The sequence below is a fragment of the Homo sapiens genome, chromosome 1 (genome assembly GCF_000001405.40).
Source record: "Homo sapiens chromosome 1, GRCh38.p14 Primary Assembly".
Classification (NCBI taxonomy): Eukaryota; Metazoa; Chordata; class Mammalia; order Primates; family Hominidae; genus Homo; species Homo sapiens.
The window spans coordinates 201,483,530-201,498,175 of NC_000001.11; the positions used below are offsets into that span (position 1 = coordinate 201,483,530).

The 14,646-nt window shown below is 50.1% G+C and overlaps 1 protein-coding gene across 4 annotated transcripts in view; it reads right to left on the minus strand.

The window, feature by feature from the left end:
• CSRP1 (cysteine and glycine rich protein 1) overlaps positions 1-14,646 on the minus strand; it is a 23,594-nt gene continuing 8,948 nt past the window's right edge. For 2 of the 4 annotated variants that reach the window (NM_004078.3, NM_001193571.2), the window contains exons 2-6: positions 12,663-12,775; positions 6,647-6,815; positions 5,326-5,455; positions 1,754-1,847; positions 1-1,260 (exon numbers count right to left, since the gene is read on the minus strand). In NM_004078.3, coding sequence (NP_004069.1) covers positions 1,184-1,260; positions 1,754-1,847; positions 5,326-5,455; positions 6,647-6,815; positions 12,663-12,774 — 582 coding nt within the window. In that variant the 5' untranslated portion in view covers position 12,775 and the 3' untranslated portion in view covers positions 1-1,183. Of the gene's footprint in view, positions 1,261-1,753; positions 1,848-5,325; positions 5,456-6,646; positions 6,816-12,662; positions 12,776-12,892; positions 13,045-14,646 lie in introns of those variants that run through there. The other 2 variants (NM_001193572.2, NM_001193570.2) reach the window with 2 other exon arrangements.

The following is a 14,646-nucleotide window of genomic DNA, read 5'->3' on the forward strand; positions in this document are numbered from 1 at the left end:
TTCTGGTCTAAACAGCTTTATTGACCAGATGAGAAATCAGCTTGGGTACAGCCCATGCCTGCAGCCCTTTCAGTGGGTGGCTCCAGATAGTGTTGTCCTTTCAGTTGCTGGGAGCGGTGAGGCCCAGCCCTTTCCCCTTCCTCCCACCACTATTCCTAACCTGGGGCCTGGCAGGGGTGGAGTGATGTGATCTAAGGGTCCCTGGAGAAGGGTGGAGTGGAAGAGGCAGGGTCTTGGGTTAAAGGGAAGATTCTGAGGTCTCAGGGCAAAGGGAAAGGTGTTTGGATGAAGACTGAGGCAGTGCCTACCTCCCTCCACATCTGAGGATCAAGCAGGTGTGGCAAGAACAGAGCCCTGGCCTGGGCTCTGCTGGCCGCAGCCTCAGGAGCCAGGGTTAAGGCCAGAGATAAATGAAGATTTGAGCCATTGATAAATGCCAATATATGTTTCAGGTATTTCATTAGGATCCTCCCATCAAGCAGGGAACTAGATGTTTGAGAAGATCAAACAACATCCTGACTTTGGGGTCCTTAAGACCTGGGTTATTCTCCTCCCAGTCCTAGTGGGAGGCTATCCATTCCACAAAGACTCAAAGGCAAGAGGCCTGGAGAAGCAGGGGCTCCTAGGACCCTGCCTGCATGCCTCTCTGCCTCCAATAGTGACTCCCTAAGCTGGGACTCCTCAGGCTTACTCTGAGGGACACCAGGAAGCTCAACCTCTTTCCCACAGAGGAGAATCTCTGAGATCCAAAAAACCCAGCCTTCCCCCCTCCTCATCTTGGTCTTGCTTCCCTCTCCCTCCAGCCTGTTGCTGCTGCTCCTCTGGGTGCCAAGATGTGTCCTCAGGTGTCTTGGTCAGCTGATGATGGACACGCAGCACAGGAGGCTAAGAACAGAGCTCTGTGGGGCGAGGTGTGGGGAGAGGGGCCTGCTCTCACCTAGACCCAAAACACTGAGGTCTCCTACTGGTGATGGTGTCAGATCCCAGGCCTGGGGAGCCCTTTAGTGGGGTGGGACCTCAGGCAGACCCCCAAACCAAAGGGAGCCAGATGCCCAAGTTCAAGTCATTAGTGATATGTGGCAGGGCTGACAGAGAAATAATCCTGGAGGTCTCCAAAGCTGCTGGGAATGGAATGGCGATGAAAAGCGCAGGAGTGGGCAGGGTGTGGTGGGTGATGGTGGCCTCACTCAGAGTGGACCAAGGCCCCAGCTCCTTGCCCAAAACCAAAGCCCTTGGGCCCGAAGTTTTTAGCATAACATCCTGCAGAGAGAGGAGAGAGATAAGGGCATGTTCTTCCTCCACCCCCAGCCACACCACCCACCCTCCTGCTGAAGATCCCCCACTCCTAGTGCCCAGCCAGACTGCTAGGGAAGGAAGGTCCACTGGTACCCCCTCACCTCCACAGCACCCCAATCTCAATAGTAAAATAGCGAAGAGGCTCTTGGTTGTACCCTGTACCCATTGCCCCTGCCACCAAAATTATAGAAGCATCATCTGCTGTAAGAACATTGGACTGGGAGTTAGGAAGCCAGGGTCTAGCCCTATGCCTGCCTCAATTTGCCAGATGATGCTGGCCAAGTTGCTTTCCCCCTCTGGTCTTGTTTCCTCATCTGTACAATGAAGGAATCATACTAGATGTTCAGATCTTGGATCCCAAGGCCAGGAATTAGTTTACATTCAGCAAAGGCAAAACTACTTAGCCCCCCTACCCCCTTGGGCCTCCTGACCCTCAATTAGAAGTGAAAACACCCACCTTTGCAGTAAATCTCGCCATCCTTGTCTGCCAGGGTGGTTGACTCAAGGCCTTTGCCACACTTGGCACATCGAAAGCAGGCCTTATGCCAGGACTAGGCAGGGAAGGAAATAGTTAATGGCTGCCACCAGTGATGAGGGTACCCTCCACCCCAGGCCCACTCCCTTTGACATAACCATGGTATAAGGGCTCAAGCCACTTCTGAAGTCTACTCAGCTGGTGCTGCTGGGAGGACATGGCCTATGGTGCAAGGCAGTAGAGGGAGAAGGCCAGGGACCACACGCCACCTCGCACCATCTTCCATGCTATGTTGCAATGGCCTGATGATTAGGGTCACCAGCTATACCACAAAAGGCAGGTGAGGGGGTGGGTTTAACACCAAAGTAGCTGTTACCCCACTGGCTGGGCCAGATGAGCCTTCTCCAGACCCATCTTGCCAGTAGATCAGTGGTGTGAGCCAGGGCTTTGCACTCCTCCTGGTACTGTCACTTAGTACTTGAACAGCCCTCACCAGAAAGACCTCTCTGCCCTGTGTTGCCTTGGGGCCTCTCATAGAGACCCAAAGGGTCTTCTGTGGCCCCTGGAGAAACTACTCCTTAGGACTTTCCCTGCTGAGTTTAATGCATTTCATAGACTTATTCTCCTTCCAAAGTGATACTAGACAACATTGACTCTGGCTTCCTCTGTGCCAGGCCCTGTGCCAGGCACTTTACACTGGTGAAGTCAGTTAGTGTTCACAGCTACCCAGTGAGGGACATACTGCCACCCTCCCCTCCAATAGCTGATAGCCTTTGGGCAAAGGAGGCACCTAATTCTAGAACTTCAGAGGCTGGGCTGGTCCAGGAGAATCCAATTACAAATACCTTCTCTGTGGCCAGGCATCATATGTTTAAATATCTAGTCCTCACATGCATTCTGTAACACAGGGCAAACAGCTGTCCCAGAAAAAAAGTGAGGCCCGAGTTTGTACACAGTGATGGGACGTTGCACAGACAGACTTCTCCGCAGCCAGTTCCCATCAACAGCTGGGCAGGCTAAGAGGCTGATGTGTAGACAGCTCTGCTTAACCCAGGAAAAGCAAGAGGCAGGCAGCAGTCAGATAAGACAAAACAAGGCCTTTTAAGGGCAAAGACACTCCCAGTGCCCAGGCTGGTGGATGAGAAAGGAAATTCATCCCCTCAGATTTCCTGGTTGCCTAACCTTGCACATTGGCTTCTCCTCCAGAGAGCTGAAATGGGGGGACCTGGGTCTAGGTCAGTGCTGGTGCAACCTCAATAGTCACCCAGCCTTTGCTGCCTCCTCTGTAAAGCAGGGGCTGCTACCCCAAGCTCTCTAGGCTGGAGAAAAACTGAATCACACCTAGACCAACACCTCTCCTCATATTTCCTAGCCACCTCCCTGCCAAAATAAGCTGAATCCCTTTGCTCATTCATAAGCACCCAAAAGTACTCCCAGCTCAACATTTCTTGAGCGAGGCAATAGAAAGGTGGGGCTTCTCCCTACCTTTTCCACTTGAATGCAAAATTCTCTTATCCTACTCCTTAGTACAGCCCTAACTTTACCTTATAGCCTGCCTAAGTAATGGAAATAGTGATTCTTAGCTATTCTTAATAATTTTCTATTCTCATAATGAGATAGAACAAAAAACCCAACTTAATAATAATATTAATGTCTCCTGTTTTCATATCCTTTAGTCAATGGCAAGGATCTTCATTGTGACCTCAAAATAATCCCTGAAAATAAACAACAATAATAATAACAATAGCAAAACTGTACTGAGGACATACCAGGCACTACATTGCACATTATACATGTACTATCTCATTTAATCATTAAAACTGCCTTGTTGTTGGGTGTGGTAGCTCACACCTGTAATCCCAGCACTTTTGGAGGCCGAGGTGGGTGGATCGTGAGGTCCAGGCTGGTTCAAGACCAGCCTGGCCAACATGGTCAAACCCCATCTTCACTAAAAATACAAAAATTAGCTGGGTGTGGTGGCGCGTGCCTGTAGTCCCATCCACTTGGGAGGCTGAGGCAGGAGAATCACTTGAACCCGGAAGGCAGAGTGCTAAGATCGCGCCACTGTACTCCAGCCTAGGTGACAAGTGTGAAATTCTGCCAAAAGAAAACAAAAACAAAAACAAACAAACAAAAAAAAACTGCCTTATTTGTCAGGGGCCATTACTTGGTCCACTTTGCATTTCCTCCACCATCCAGGCCCACTTTAGAGCTGAAGAACTGAGGCTTAGGAAGGCTAAATTTTCCCAAGTTCGCTCAGCCAATAAATGGCAAAACTAGGATTCAAAGCAGGCTGTCTAGAGTCCAAGCTCTTAATCACCGTGCTAGGATCCCCTCCCATTTTGCAGCCTTGGAAATGGGTTTGAAGAGGCTAAATGGCCCAAAGTAGCATTAACAGTAGTAACAGCAGTAAGAGCAAGGGCTTCGGAGTCAGACAAACCTGGGCTTGAGTCTGGCTTAGCCCCTTCCTAGCTAGCGGATCTGGGCAAATTATGTAATCCTCCTGACTCCCAGTTTCTTCATCTGTACAACAGGGATACTAATCCCCATCTCTGTCCAACCATGACTGTGAGAGTAGAGATTCTAACACTGGCCTAAGTGTTAATTGTTTAACATTTCTTGATCAATTCCCCTATCCCATTCCTCAAGGTCAAAAAGCCTTGAAAGCCAAAACCTGAATCCAGAAGAGATGAAGATGGGCTCCAGGCCCAGACATTCCATAACCTTGTTGTGTGATCTTGGCCAAGTCACTTTTCTATCTCAGGCCTCACGTGATGCTCCAGAATTCCTCTCTGGCCCCACAGCTGAAAGACATCTCTTCTGTGATTTTCTGACTGCTAATCTGACACTGCAAACCCCAGGGGCAAGAGTTCTGCCTCTTCTCTACTGCAGCCTATCTGAAGGAAGTGATCAGCTCAATTGGGAACTGTTGATTTGCTACAGTGATTCTCACTGTGCATTGGTGATTGGGGGCTACTGTCAGAATATCATGGGGGAAGGGCATGTGCGGCAATTCTAAACAGTGTGAAAAAAGCCTCCTAGGAGGCTCTGGTAGGTCTGAACCTTGAAAATCTCTGCCCTGGGGGTATTTGGATGGGTTTTTGGGAGTCCACATCCCATGAAACAGAATGTATATTTTTGGGATCACAAATCCTTTGAAAATTTAATAAAAGCTATGGATCTTCTTCTAAGAAACAGACAGGTTCCCATGAAACTTTGTATATAATCTTCAGGGCTTTGTGGACCCTCTGCAGCCCATCCACGTACCCTTACTTTCTGTTCTCCTATATTAGAGATACAGATTGATCATTGCCACTCCCTATGAATTGCCCATTGTCCATCAATGCTGGGGATGTTACTGCTCATGGCTGATATGAGCTCCTTGGAGACTGGAAAGCACAGGTACATGCAACCCACAGGGACAAAGAGAAGAGGTTAAACCCCAGTGCTCAGGCTGCCCTGAGCAGAGCTAGGTCACCAATTTAAAAGTTCTGGAATCCACATTTCAGGAAGATATCTCCCCCCATCCCTCTCATGCCCAGCAGCCACCTTACCTTCCCAGCACCAATCACCTTCTCCGCAGCATAGACTGCCTGGCTGCATCGGGGGCAGCGCTCGGAGCCACCAATCTTCTGGGCAAATTTGGATGCATTGGGGTTGGTGGTGGGCCTGTGGCCAGGGGCTCTGCATGGAGAAGGGCATGGGGTGAGGTGACTTACACTGTAAGTACAGGTGGGGCTGGCACTGAGAGGGCATGACCCTACCTTCATCTCATGCCAGAGCAGCGCGCAATTCTCTCTGCCAAAGTCACAAAGGCTAGGGCCTCTAGGGTCATCTCCCATTTTACAGATGGACAAACCAAGCCTCAGCACAATGTTATTTCCATTGTAACATCATACTTCCCTCGGTCACCCAGTTAACCCCAGAATCATTTAACACCCCATTTGCTAAGAATTGCCCTCCTCTGCCCCTCATTCCTGCAGCTGGTCTATTATCAGATTCTTTACAGGAGAAATCTGCTGATGAATCATTCCCACTGGGGCAATGACCTTGGCTGAAACTTGGTAATTCATCCATCATTTCCGTCCACCCCCCAGGCCGAGGAGCAAGCCAGGCTGACTGCCAACAGCCACCATTTACCCAGAGGCCAGGGAGTGCCGTGGGGTGAGGGGGGTGTGGTGGGGCTGATGACACCCTATGGCATTTCGAAGAAAGGGAAATGACTTCTTCTCAGTAGTGAGAGATAGCAGGGCTGAGACAGTGAGGCTGGTGTGGCAACGGTGCTGCCCTGAGCCCCTGATCTGGCTCCGACACTCACTAGCCGTGGGACCCCAGGCAAGTCACTGAGCCTGGGCTGGATTTTCTCATCTATAAAAAGAGGAGGCAACATGGTGAAACCCTGTCTCTACAAAATACAGAATTAGCTGGGTGTGGTGGCACATGCCTGTACTCCCAGCTACTCGGGAGCCTGAGGCAAGAGGATCACTTGAGCCCAAGAAGCAGAGGCTGCAGTGAGCCAAGATTGTACCACTGCACTCCAGCCTGGGTGACAGAGCAAGACTCCCTTTCAAAAAAAAACAAAAAAAGAGGAAATTGGACTAAGTGATTCTTGGGGCCCCTCCCAGCTCTGACTCTCATACAAATATAGAATGCACGCTCCTTGCAGGGAGGAGCCCAGCCTGTTTTAGTCCCTGCTGCATCCCCAGCTCCTGCAGCAGCCTGACACATAGACACTGCTCTGTGACTGCCTTTTAAATAACTGGTTTTCTGAGCCTTCCATTGCTTACCCAAAAATGGTTGTAAATACACATGAGGCCTAATACAGGGTGGGGGAGAGAGCTCAAGAAAAAGGTTGGGAGGGGATCTTTTACTCACTCCTCGTGCTTGATACCCAGCGACTCCCCCTTGTCAGTGCTGAGGGTGCCTGCGCCCTGCCCGTAGCCATAGCCTTTGGGCCCATACTTCTTGCCGTAGCAGGACTTGCAGTAAATCTCCTCACCATGCACGGCCACAGTGGTACTGTCCAGATTCTTCTTGCAGACCACTGTGGAGGGGAAGGGGAAGCGGACGCATTGAGTTGAAGCTGGGGTGACCTTCTTGCTCATTGCAAGCTTCTTACAGCTGAAGCTCTCTGGCCTCTTTGCATACATAATATCCTGATCTTTCAGGAACTGTCTACAAATGGAGGCAGGCGGGATGGCCAATGGGTGGGAGGACAGAGGGATGGGATCTGCATATCCGACTCTAGAAATGCTGGCCAACACCAATTCCTCTTCCAGGAATCCATATGTGTCTCCTTTGGTCCTCTGCACCCCTAAACTTCCTCAGGCTGCAGTGCAACACAGGGTTCAGAGGCAACAGCCTAGGCTGACCCCAAGCCACAGGACGCCTGTTGAGGTTCCTCACTCTGCCCTCAACAGAGACCATATGTCCCAATGGGGGAGGAGGAAAAAGAAAAGAAGGGCAGTTTTCCTGCCTTCAACAGTGGAATCCAGAAGAGACTATCTGTGCATGTTGGCAGGGAGCCAACGGGGGGAGATGCAGGTGATGTGATACCCCATAAGAAATGTTTAACATTTATTAAGTGCCCAACATGGTGGGCTTTGAAATGGGATGCAGCTCATGCTAATCACAAGAGGATTTGAAGTTTCTAATCTCAGAAATCACTTTACCACAGGAAGAAGTGAGGGTCAGACACAGAAGAACTTCCTGACTCCTGGGGTAAGAGAGAGTGGAACGGAAGGAACTAGGGATTGCAATGGTCTGAGCTGGAAAGGCTGTGGGCCTCATATTTCGTCCTGTTAATCTCAGAGGGGAGCTATGCCCAGCTATCCAGAATAAAACAGTTTGGGCTGGGTGCAGTGGCTCATGCCTGTAGTTCCAGCAGTGGGAAGCCAAGGCTGGAGGATTACTTGAGCCCAGGAGTTTGAGATCAGCCTGGGGAAGATGGCATAACCCTGTCTCTATTTATTTAAAAATAAATAAATAAATAAAACTTTTAAAAATAAAAATAAAGTTAAAGCAGTTCAGAGCCTGGGGTCATGAAGAGTCAGACTGCCCAGAATCAAATCCCAGCTCTCTCCCTTTCCAGCCATTTGCAAGTTTTTTTTGCCTTTCCAGCCTCTGTGTCCTCATTTGTAAATGAACATAATAATGTCTGCCCCAAAAGCTGGTGGTGAGAATCAAATGAGATCTGACATGTGAAGTACTTGGCATAATACCCTGCATACAACAAATGCATAATAAATGTTGGCTACTCTTATTAGTATTATATAAAGTTAGTACCATCGGGAGACAAGGAAGTGGGAGGGACAGGCCCCAGCTTCAAGAGATCATTGCTTCTAACTTTCACATACTCCTCTCAAGAGATTCAACTGCATTCTTTTTCTTTACTTGTCCTGTAATCCTAATTCGGTTTGATCATATTCCTTAAATATTGGAGTTCAGCATCTCAGTTGGACGCATCCTCAAACATGTCCTGAACATAGAAACCGAGGGATACCACTGGAGAAGCCACGCCTTTTACCACCCTCGGAGAAGCTCTCAGCTCCTTTCCTTGCAACTGCCATCCTCTTGCCTTTAAAGGGTCCATCCCTCTGCCAGCTCCTCTCTCACCCTAAGCCCCAGGTTGGAGACTTCAGACTAAATAAGGACCCTCTTGTCCTGCTCTGGAGATCTCCATCTCATTCCAGCACTCTGGGCCATCCAAATATGGAACTTCCCACCATTTCCCCCCGGGACCAGCTCCCAAGAAGGAGGGAGAGGGAACCACAGGCCAAGGGCTCCAACATTCCCTTCTAGGGTGGGAAGTCAGGAATTGGCCTGGAATTGTTTTCCTGTAAGATCCCAATTGAACTGAAAATTCCAAGACCAGAGAGAAGGCAGAAAGCAAAGAGTGCTTGGGGGAACAGAGGTGTATTTTGGCTGATCTCTCCAGTAGGAGACCCAGGAACTCAGCCCAGGGCAGACCTCAGGGCCTGCAAGTTGACATCTTCCAGATGGCTCCCCTGCCGAGGACCTCCCTGCTCCTTTCTGCTTTGCCTTGGCCCTTCTGTTCTCCCAGAGGCCCAATCCTGCCCATCGTGGCCCTCTGCCCCTCTACCTCCATCCAGGTGATATACTGAGAGACTCTGCAACTCACCAAAGTCTTTGTAAGATCCACCAAAGACTCAATCAAGGGGAATTTTAAAGGCAGGCCTGAATAAATTTCTACCATATCATGGTAAGCCAATAAGGGGAAAAGAAAAAAAAAAGACTGGATTTGTTGGAAACACATACTTCCAGATGCCACTTTGGTGGGCCCTTGTGATACTGCTTGGAAATAAAGGGAAAAGGCAGCCCCAGGGGAGAGGTCAGAGCCCCCTTGCCCCACTCAGAAATAGAGAATGATTCTCTGCTTCTGGAAGGAAAACCGAGGCCCACAAAACAGTTCCAGATCACGTGTTGGCCAGATGCAGGGCCAGGCCAGAACCCAGCCCCTGACCTCCAGACCTGGTGGTTTTCTGCCAGCCATTGCTCCCCTCCAGTGGGCCACACATGTGGGGCCAAGAGGGTGAAAAGTGTCAGTAAGTCTCAGCCTGCAGGTGAGGAGACGCTGGTGTCAGAAAGTGTGCAAGGCTTCCGTGAGCTTCCCCTGTGCTCTTGGATTCTAGGGAACAGCCCAGGGCCAACCTGTGGGGCCCTGTTCCATCGGCCACCATCACAGAGTTCTTCTTTCCTCAGGGCTGGCTGCTTAACCCACCTTCCCCAGCAGGGAGCTGGGTACAGCTCAGAGATGGGCACATAACCTCAGGGCAGGTTCCCAGCCACGGAGCTGAGCTTTCCCACCAGCCTCTGAACCACCACCTGCTCATAGGATCTGGCAGCCCCTTTCAAGACCATGGGAGTATACTGTAGGCCCTCTCAGTCCCTGGTCCCAGGCCAAGCCCAGGGTGGAGGTCATTCTCCCCACCTTTGCCTATGACATCATCATGTCTTCCTCCCGCCCATTCAGACACTCAGGAAAGGGCACTGATATGGTTTGGCTGTGTTCCCACCCAAATCTCTCCTTGGGCCAAATGGAGATAATTGAATCATGGGGGCAGCTTCCGCCATACTGTTCTTGTGATAGTGAAAAAGTCTTACAAGATCTGATGGTTATATAAATGGGAGTTCCCCCATACAAGCTCTCTTGCCTGCTGCCATGTAAGACATGCCTTTGCTTCTCCTTTGCCTTCTGCCATGATTGTGAGGCCTCCCCAGCCATGTGGAACTGTGAGTCCATTAAACCTCTTTCCTTTATAAATTACCCAGTCTCAGGTATGTCTTTATTAGCAGCATGAGAGTAGACTAATACAGGCATGTAGGTGGGCAAGCTGAGTAGAATCTGGAGCCAAGAACCCACATGGTCACAACTGCTTTTGGGGACCCAACCAGGCCTGGCCAATGAGGGAGATGGCCCTTACTGCCCTTGGCCCAGACCTGGCTAGCCTCTCCCTTCCTCGGGAGGGAAAGTCCTTTGATTCAGTGGGCACCCTGAATGGGGTGAACACTTATCACCCACTTCACTGGAAAAGAGAAATGATGTGCCTTCCATTCATAAACAAATCTTTGTCAGGAACCCACTTTGTGCCAGGTGCTGTGTTAGGCATGATGAATGAGCAAGTTGTGGAGATGGCTCAGCCTGCTGGGACATGTGCAGTGCTAGGGGGTCCACTTGGTGCTCTGATATCCAATAGCTGCACTGGCCCTGAGACCCTAGCGTGACCTGAGACTGCTTCCTGCGGCTGCTCATTGCATAACACCCCCGCACCCCGCCAAGAGCCCTGCTCCCCAGCCTGACTTTCTACAACTGTTTCTCATCCGCAGCGCCCCTCACACCCTGCCCCAGGCCCTGTTCCTTCCTTCCTATGCCACCCCCTGAATTCCTGACTTCCCTCAACCCTCTGACCGACTACTCCTCCGTAAACAGGTCTGCAGGCAGGCACCCCCGCCCACAGCTGACCCCTTATGGTCAGTGATTAAGCAACATCTGAGAGCAAAGAGAGGGGCCCTTAGGACCCCAGCAGCCTAGACCCCCTTCCCAGCCAGCACCAAGCTCTCTCTTATTCCCTCTGGAAAGATAAACGGCTTGGAAATTCCTAAGAGTAGTGAACTGCTGATAACAAGACGCTGCTGTTTCTGGCCTCCTTTGCAGGCTGGAAGCCAACAAAGCTCCACTAAACCTTGTTTACTCCCCATTCATCAGACGCAGCCCTGGAGCTGTCACTCCAGGCCCGGCTGAGCAGGATGTGGGGCCCCTGCTGCCCTGTGCGGGGTGGCCTCAGGTGGGTCTACCTAGCGACAGGCAGAGATGCAAACGTCCATTGAACAGGTGGCTCTTGGCCCATCTGTATCCTACTCTGGAGCACAAATCATGAAACTTTGCTTCGTGTAATGCAGAACAGACAGGACCCCATTCTTGGATCTCCCCATCTTCAGGGGCCTCAGACCCTGGTGAGGGCTTCTTTGTATCACACCATCTTGCTACAGATCCCTCAGCAGTGTGCGTGTGTGTGTGTGCGTGTGCACGTGTGTGCGCATGTGTGTGTGCATATCATTTCTTCAACACTCATAATCATTTTAAGTGCTTTGTCTTACAAGCTTCTTTCATTTTAATTCTCACAACAATCCCATGAGGTAACTATTATTACCTCCTCCGTAATAATGAGAAAACTCAACCAGAGAGAAACTGAGTAACTTGTCCATCATCACACAGATAATAAACACCGAATCTTTTTTAACTAAGACATTCTTCTACCATCCATTCTGCCTACCATCATGGGGAATGTACCTTGGCGGGCACAGTGGCTCACACCTGTAATCCCAACACTTTGGGAGGCTGAGGTGGGCAGACTGCTTAAACCCAGGAGCTCAACGCCACCCTGGGTAATATAGGGAGACCCTGTCTCTCTAAAAATTTTTTTTAAAAATTGGCAGAGCATGGTGGCATGCATGTGTAGTCCTAGCTACTCAGGAGGCTGAGGTGAGAGGATCATTTGAGGTGGAGGCTGCAGTGAGACACTGCACTCCAGCCTGGGTGACAGAGTGAGACTCTGTCTTAAGAAAGAAAATGCACCTTGCTGAAGTTGCCTCTTCTTCTAACCCAGACCTTCTGCTCTGATCACAATGAACCAACTCATTTAGGAACCTGAGGAGAGGCTTCACCAAGTTGCCACATCCTGGAAACATCACCTGGCCCAGGTACCAGTGGGTGCAGCATCACGGTGTCAGGATCCCTGGGTCGACCTGACCTCTGTCAGTTGCTTGGTATTCTTTTGTCTGATTTCTTACTCATCTAGGCTTATGACTGGAGCAAACCTTGCTCTGGCTTCTTAGGAGTAGATATCAGGGAACTTTGTACTCCCTCTTCCTCTCATCCCAGGCTGAGTGGGAATGGGAAGTGAAGAACTGAACAGGCCAGCCTGCAAGGGGCTGAGGAAGGAGGAGCCCCACTCTTCCTCCAGATTCAGCTTCACCATGAGGTTGTGGCCTCTGTTGCCTTTGAACAAGAGATAATTAGGGTGCAAAGGGCTGAAAGTGTTTTCCTCTGAAATGGTGAAATCATGACAGGGAGAGAGAGAAGAGAGAGCTGAGTGGAAAGTTTTCTTAACCAAGTCTTTACAGCTTGGCTTTCAGCCCCTGAACGCCTGCCACCCCGACCCGCTCTGGCCAGTTCATCCCTTAGAAAGAAGCTTCTGAACGGAACAAAGAGGCCCTGAAGTGTTTCCCTGCCCAGCTGCGCTTCAGCCAAATGTCAAGCTGTTTACATCCCATGGGATCAGTTCCCTGGGGTGTTGACAGGCCCAGCCTGTGGGGGCAGGCCCGTCCAGGGTGTCCAAGGCAACAGCAATAGGGCCTGGGGCGTACTCACTGCACAGGAAGCAGGATTTATGGAAGCTGTTGCCTTCGCACTGAACCTCTTCGGCAAAGTAAACCGTCTTCTGACACACCCCACATTTCTTGCCTCCTCCCCAGTTCGGCATTCTGAAAAGGGACACAGAAATGGGAATTAATTTTACAGGGAGATGGAAACATCTCAGATTGTCCACGACAGAAATGCAACAGCCAGATCCAGAGGAGAGAAAGACAAAAGTAGAATGCCTGGGGGGCCACCAGGCCTGGCAGAGCACTTTCTGCTAGCTCTCGACAGCAGCCTCGCACGTTCTCGGGGATTTCCTCCCCCCAATCTAATCAACAGGTCTTTACAGAGCAGCTGCTGCATTTTCAGCCCTGTGCTAGGCACTCTAAAGGATGTGGATCAGCAGAAGAAGCAGGCTTTATAAAGAAGGCTCCAGCTGCAATAAAAATGGACTGCCTACCCCTACACACGTCAACATGGACGGATCTCAAAGAGAATGTGGAAGAAGCAGACAGACCAGAGCTGGGAAAATGCAAGTCCATTTGTAGGAAATTCACAAATGGGCTAAACTCATATTGCCAAGGGATGGACATATAGGTGGAAAAGTTACTACAGAAAAGCAAGGGAATGATGATCACAAGCTTTTACCTTAGAAGAGTTACCTCTAAGAGAGGGAAGGGACCATGACTGGGTTGGGAGACCAGGGAGGCTGGTAAGGCACTGCCTGGCAATGCTCTCCTTCTTAACTCAGGGTGGTTGTCATATGGGGGCTCACTTTATAATTATTCTTTGAACTGTACATGTAGGTTTTGTGCACACTTTTGTATATAAGCTATAGCTCACCACAAGAAAAAAGTTTTTTTTGTTTTGTTTTGTTTTTTAAATGCAGGGCTGGGCATGGTGGCTCACGCCTGTAATCCCAGCACTTTGGGAGGCTGAGGCGGGCAGGCCACCTGAGGTCAGGAGTTCCGGAGTTCCAGATCAGACTGGCCAATGTGGCGAAACACCATCTCTACTAAAAATACAAAAATTAGCCAGGTGTGGTGGTGCGCCCCTGTAATCCTAGCTACTCTGGAGGCTGAGGCAGGAGAATCACTTGAACTTGGGAGGCGGAGGTAGCAGTGAGCCAAGATAGCACCACTGCACTCCAGTCTGGGCAACAGAACAAGACTCTGTCTCAAAAAAAAAAAAAAAAAAAAAAAAAGGCAGGAGGTAGGCACACAGGGCAGTTATCAAACTTCAGAGTGAGGGGCTTTTGCAAAATCAGATTTAGTAACACCACCCCACATCTAATGAATTATAACCTCTGAGAATGAGATACTTGAGAGAATGAGGTACTTGAATCTGAATTTTTAACAAGCACCCCAGGCAAACAAAGCAGGTGGCCCAGACCAACTTTGAGATGCTCTAGGTGTTGGTTCAGAGCTGGCGTCCTGATGCCATGCAGGTTTGGCTCAATCTTGATCCTGCCACTCATTAGCTGTGTGACCTTGGGCAAGATAGTCAGTCTTTCCAAACCTTGATTTCTGTATCTGTTAAATAAGGATAAAAGCTGGGTGCAGTGGGTCATGCCTGTAATCCCAGCACTTTGGGAGGCTGAGGTGGGCAGATCACGAGGTCGGGAGTTTGAGACCAGCCTGACCAACATGGTGAAAACCTGTCTCTACTAAAAATAGAAAAATTAGTGGGGCGTGGTGGCACCTGCCTGTAATCCCAGCCACTCAGGAGGCTGAGGCAGGAGAATCGCTTGAACCTGGGAGGCAGAGGTTGCAGTGAGTCGAGATCGCGCCATTGCATTCCAGCCCGGACGACAGAGCAAGACTCCGTCTCAAAAAAAAAAAAGGATAAAAATAGCGACTTCACCGAGTATGTCTGGTGATTAAATGAGATATGATATGTCAAAGGCAAGGCACAGTACTTGGCACATATACAGCACACAGAAGTCCAAGTGATGCCTCAGGTCAGTGCCCACGTGGCCACAGAGCAGCACGGAAGG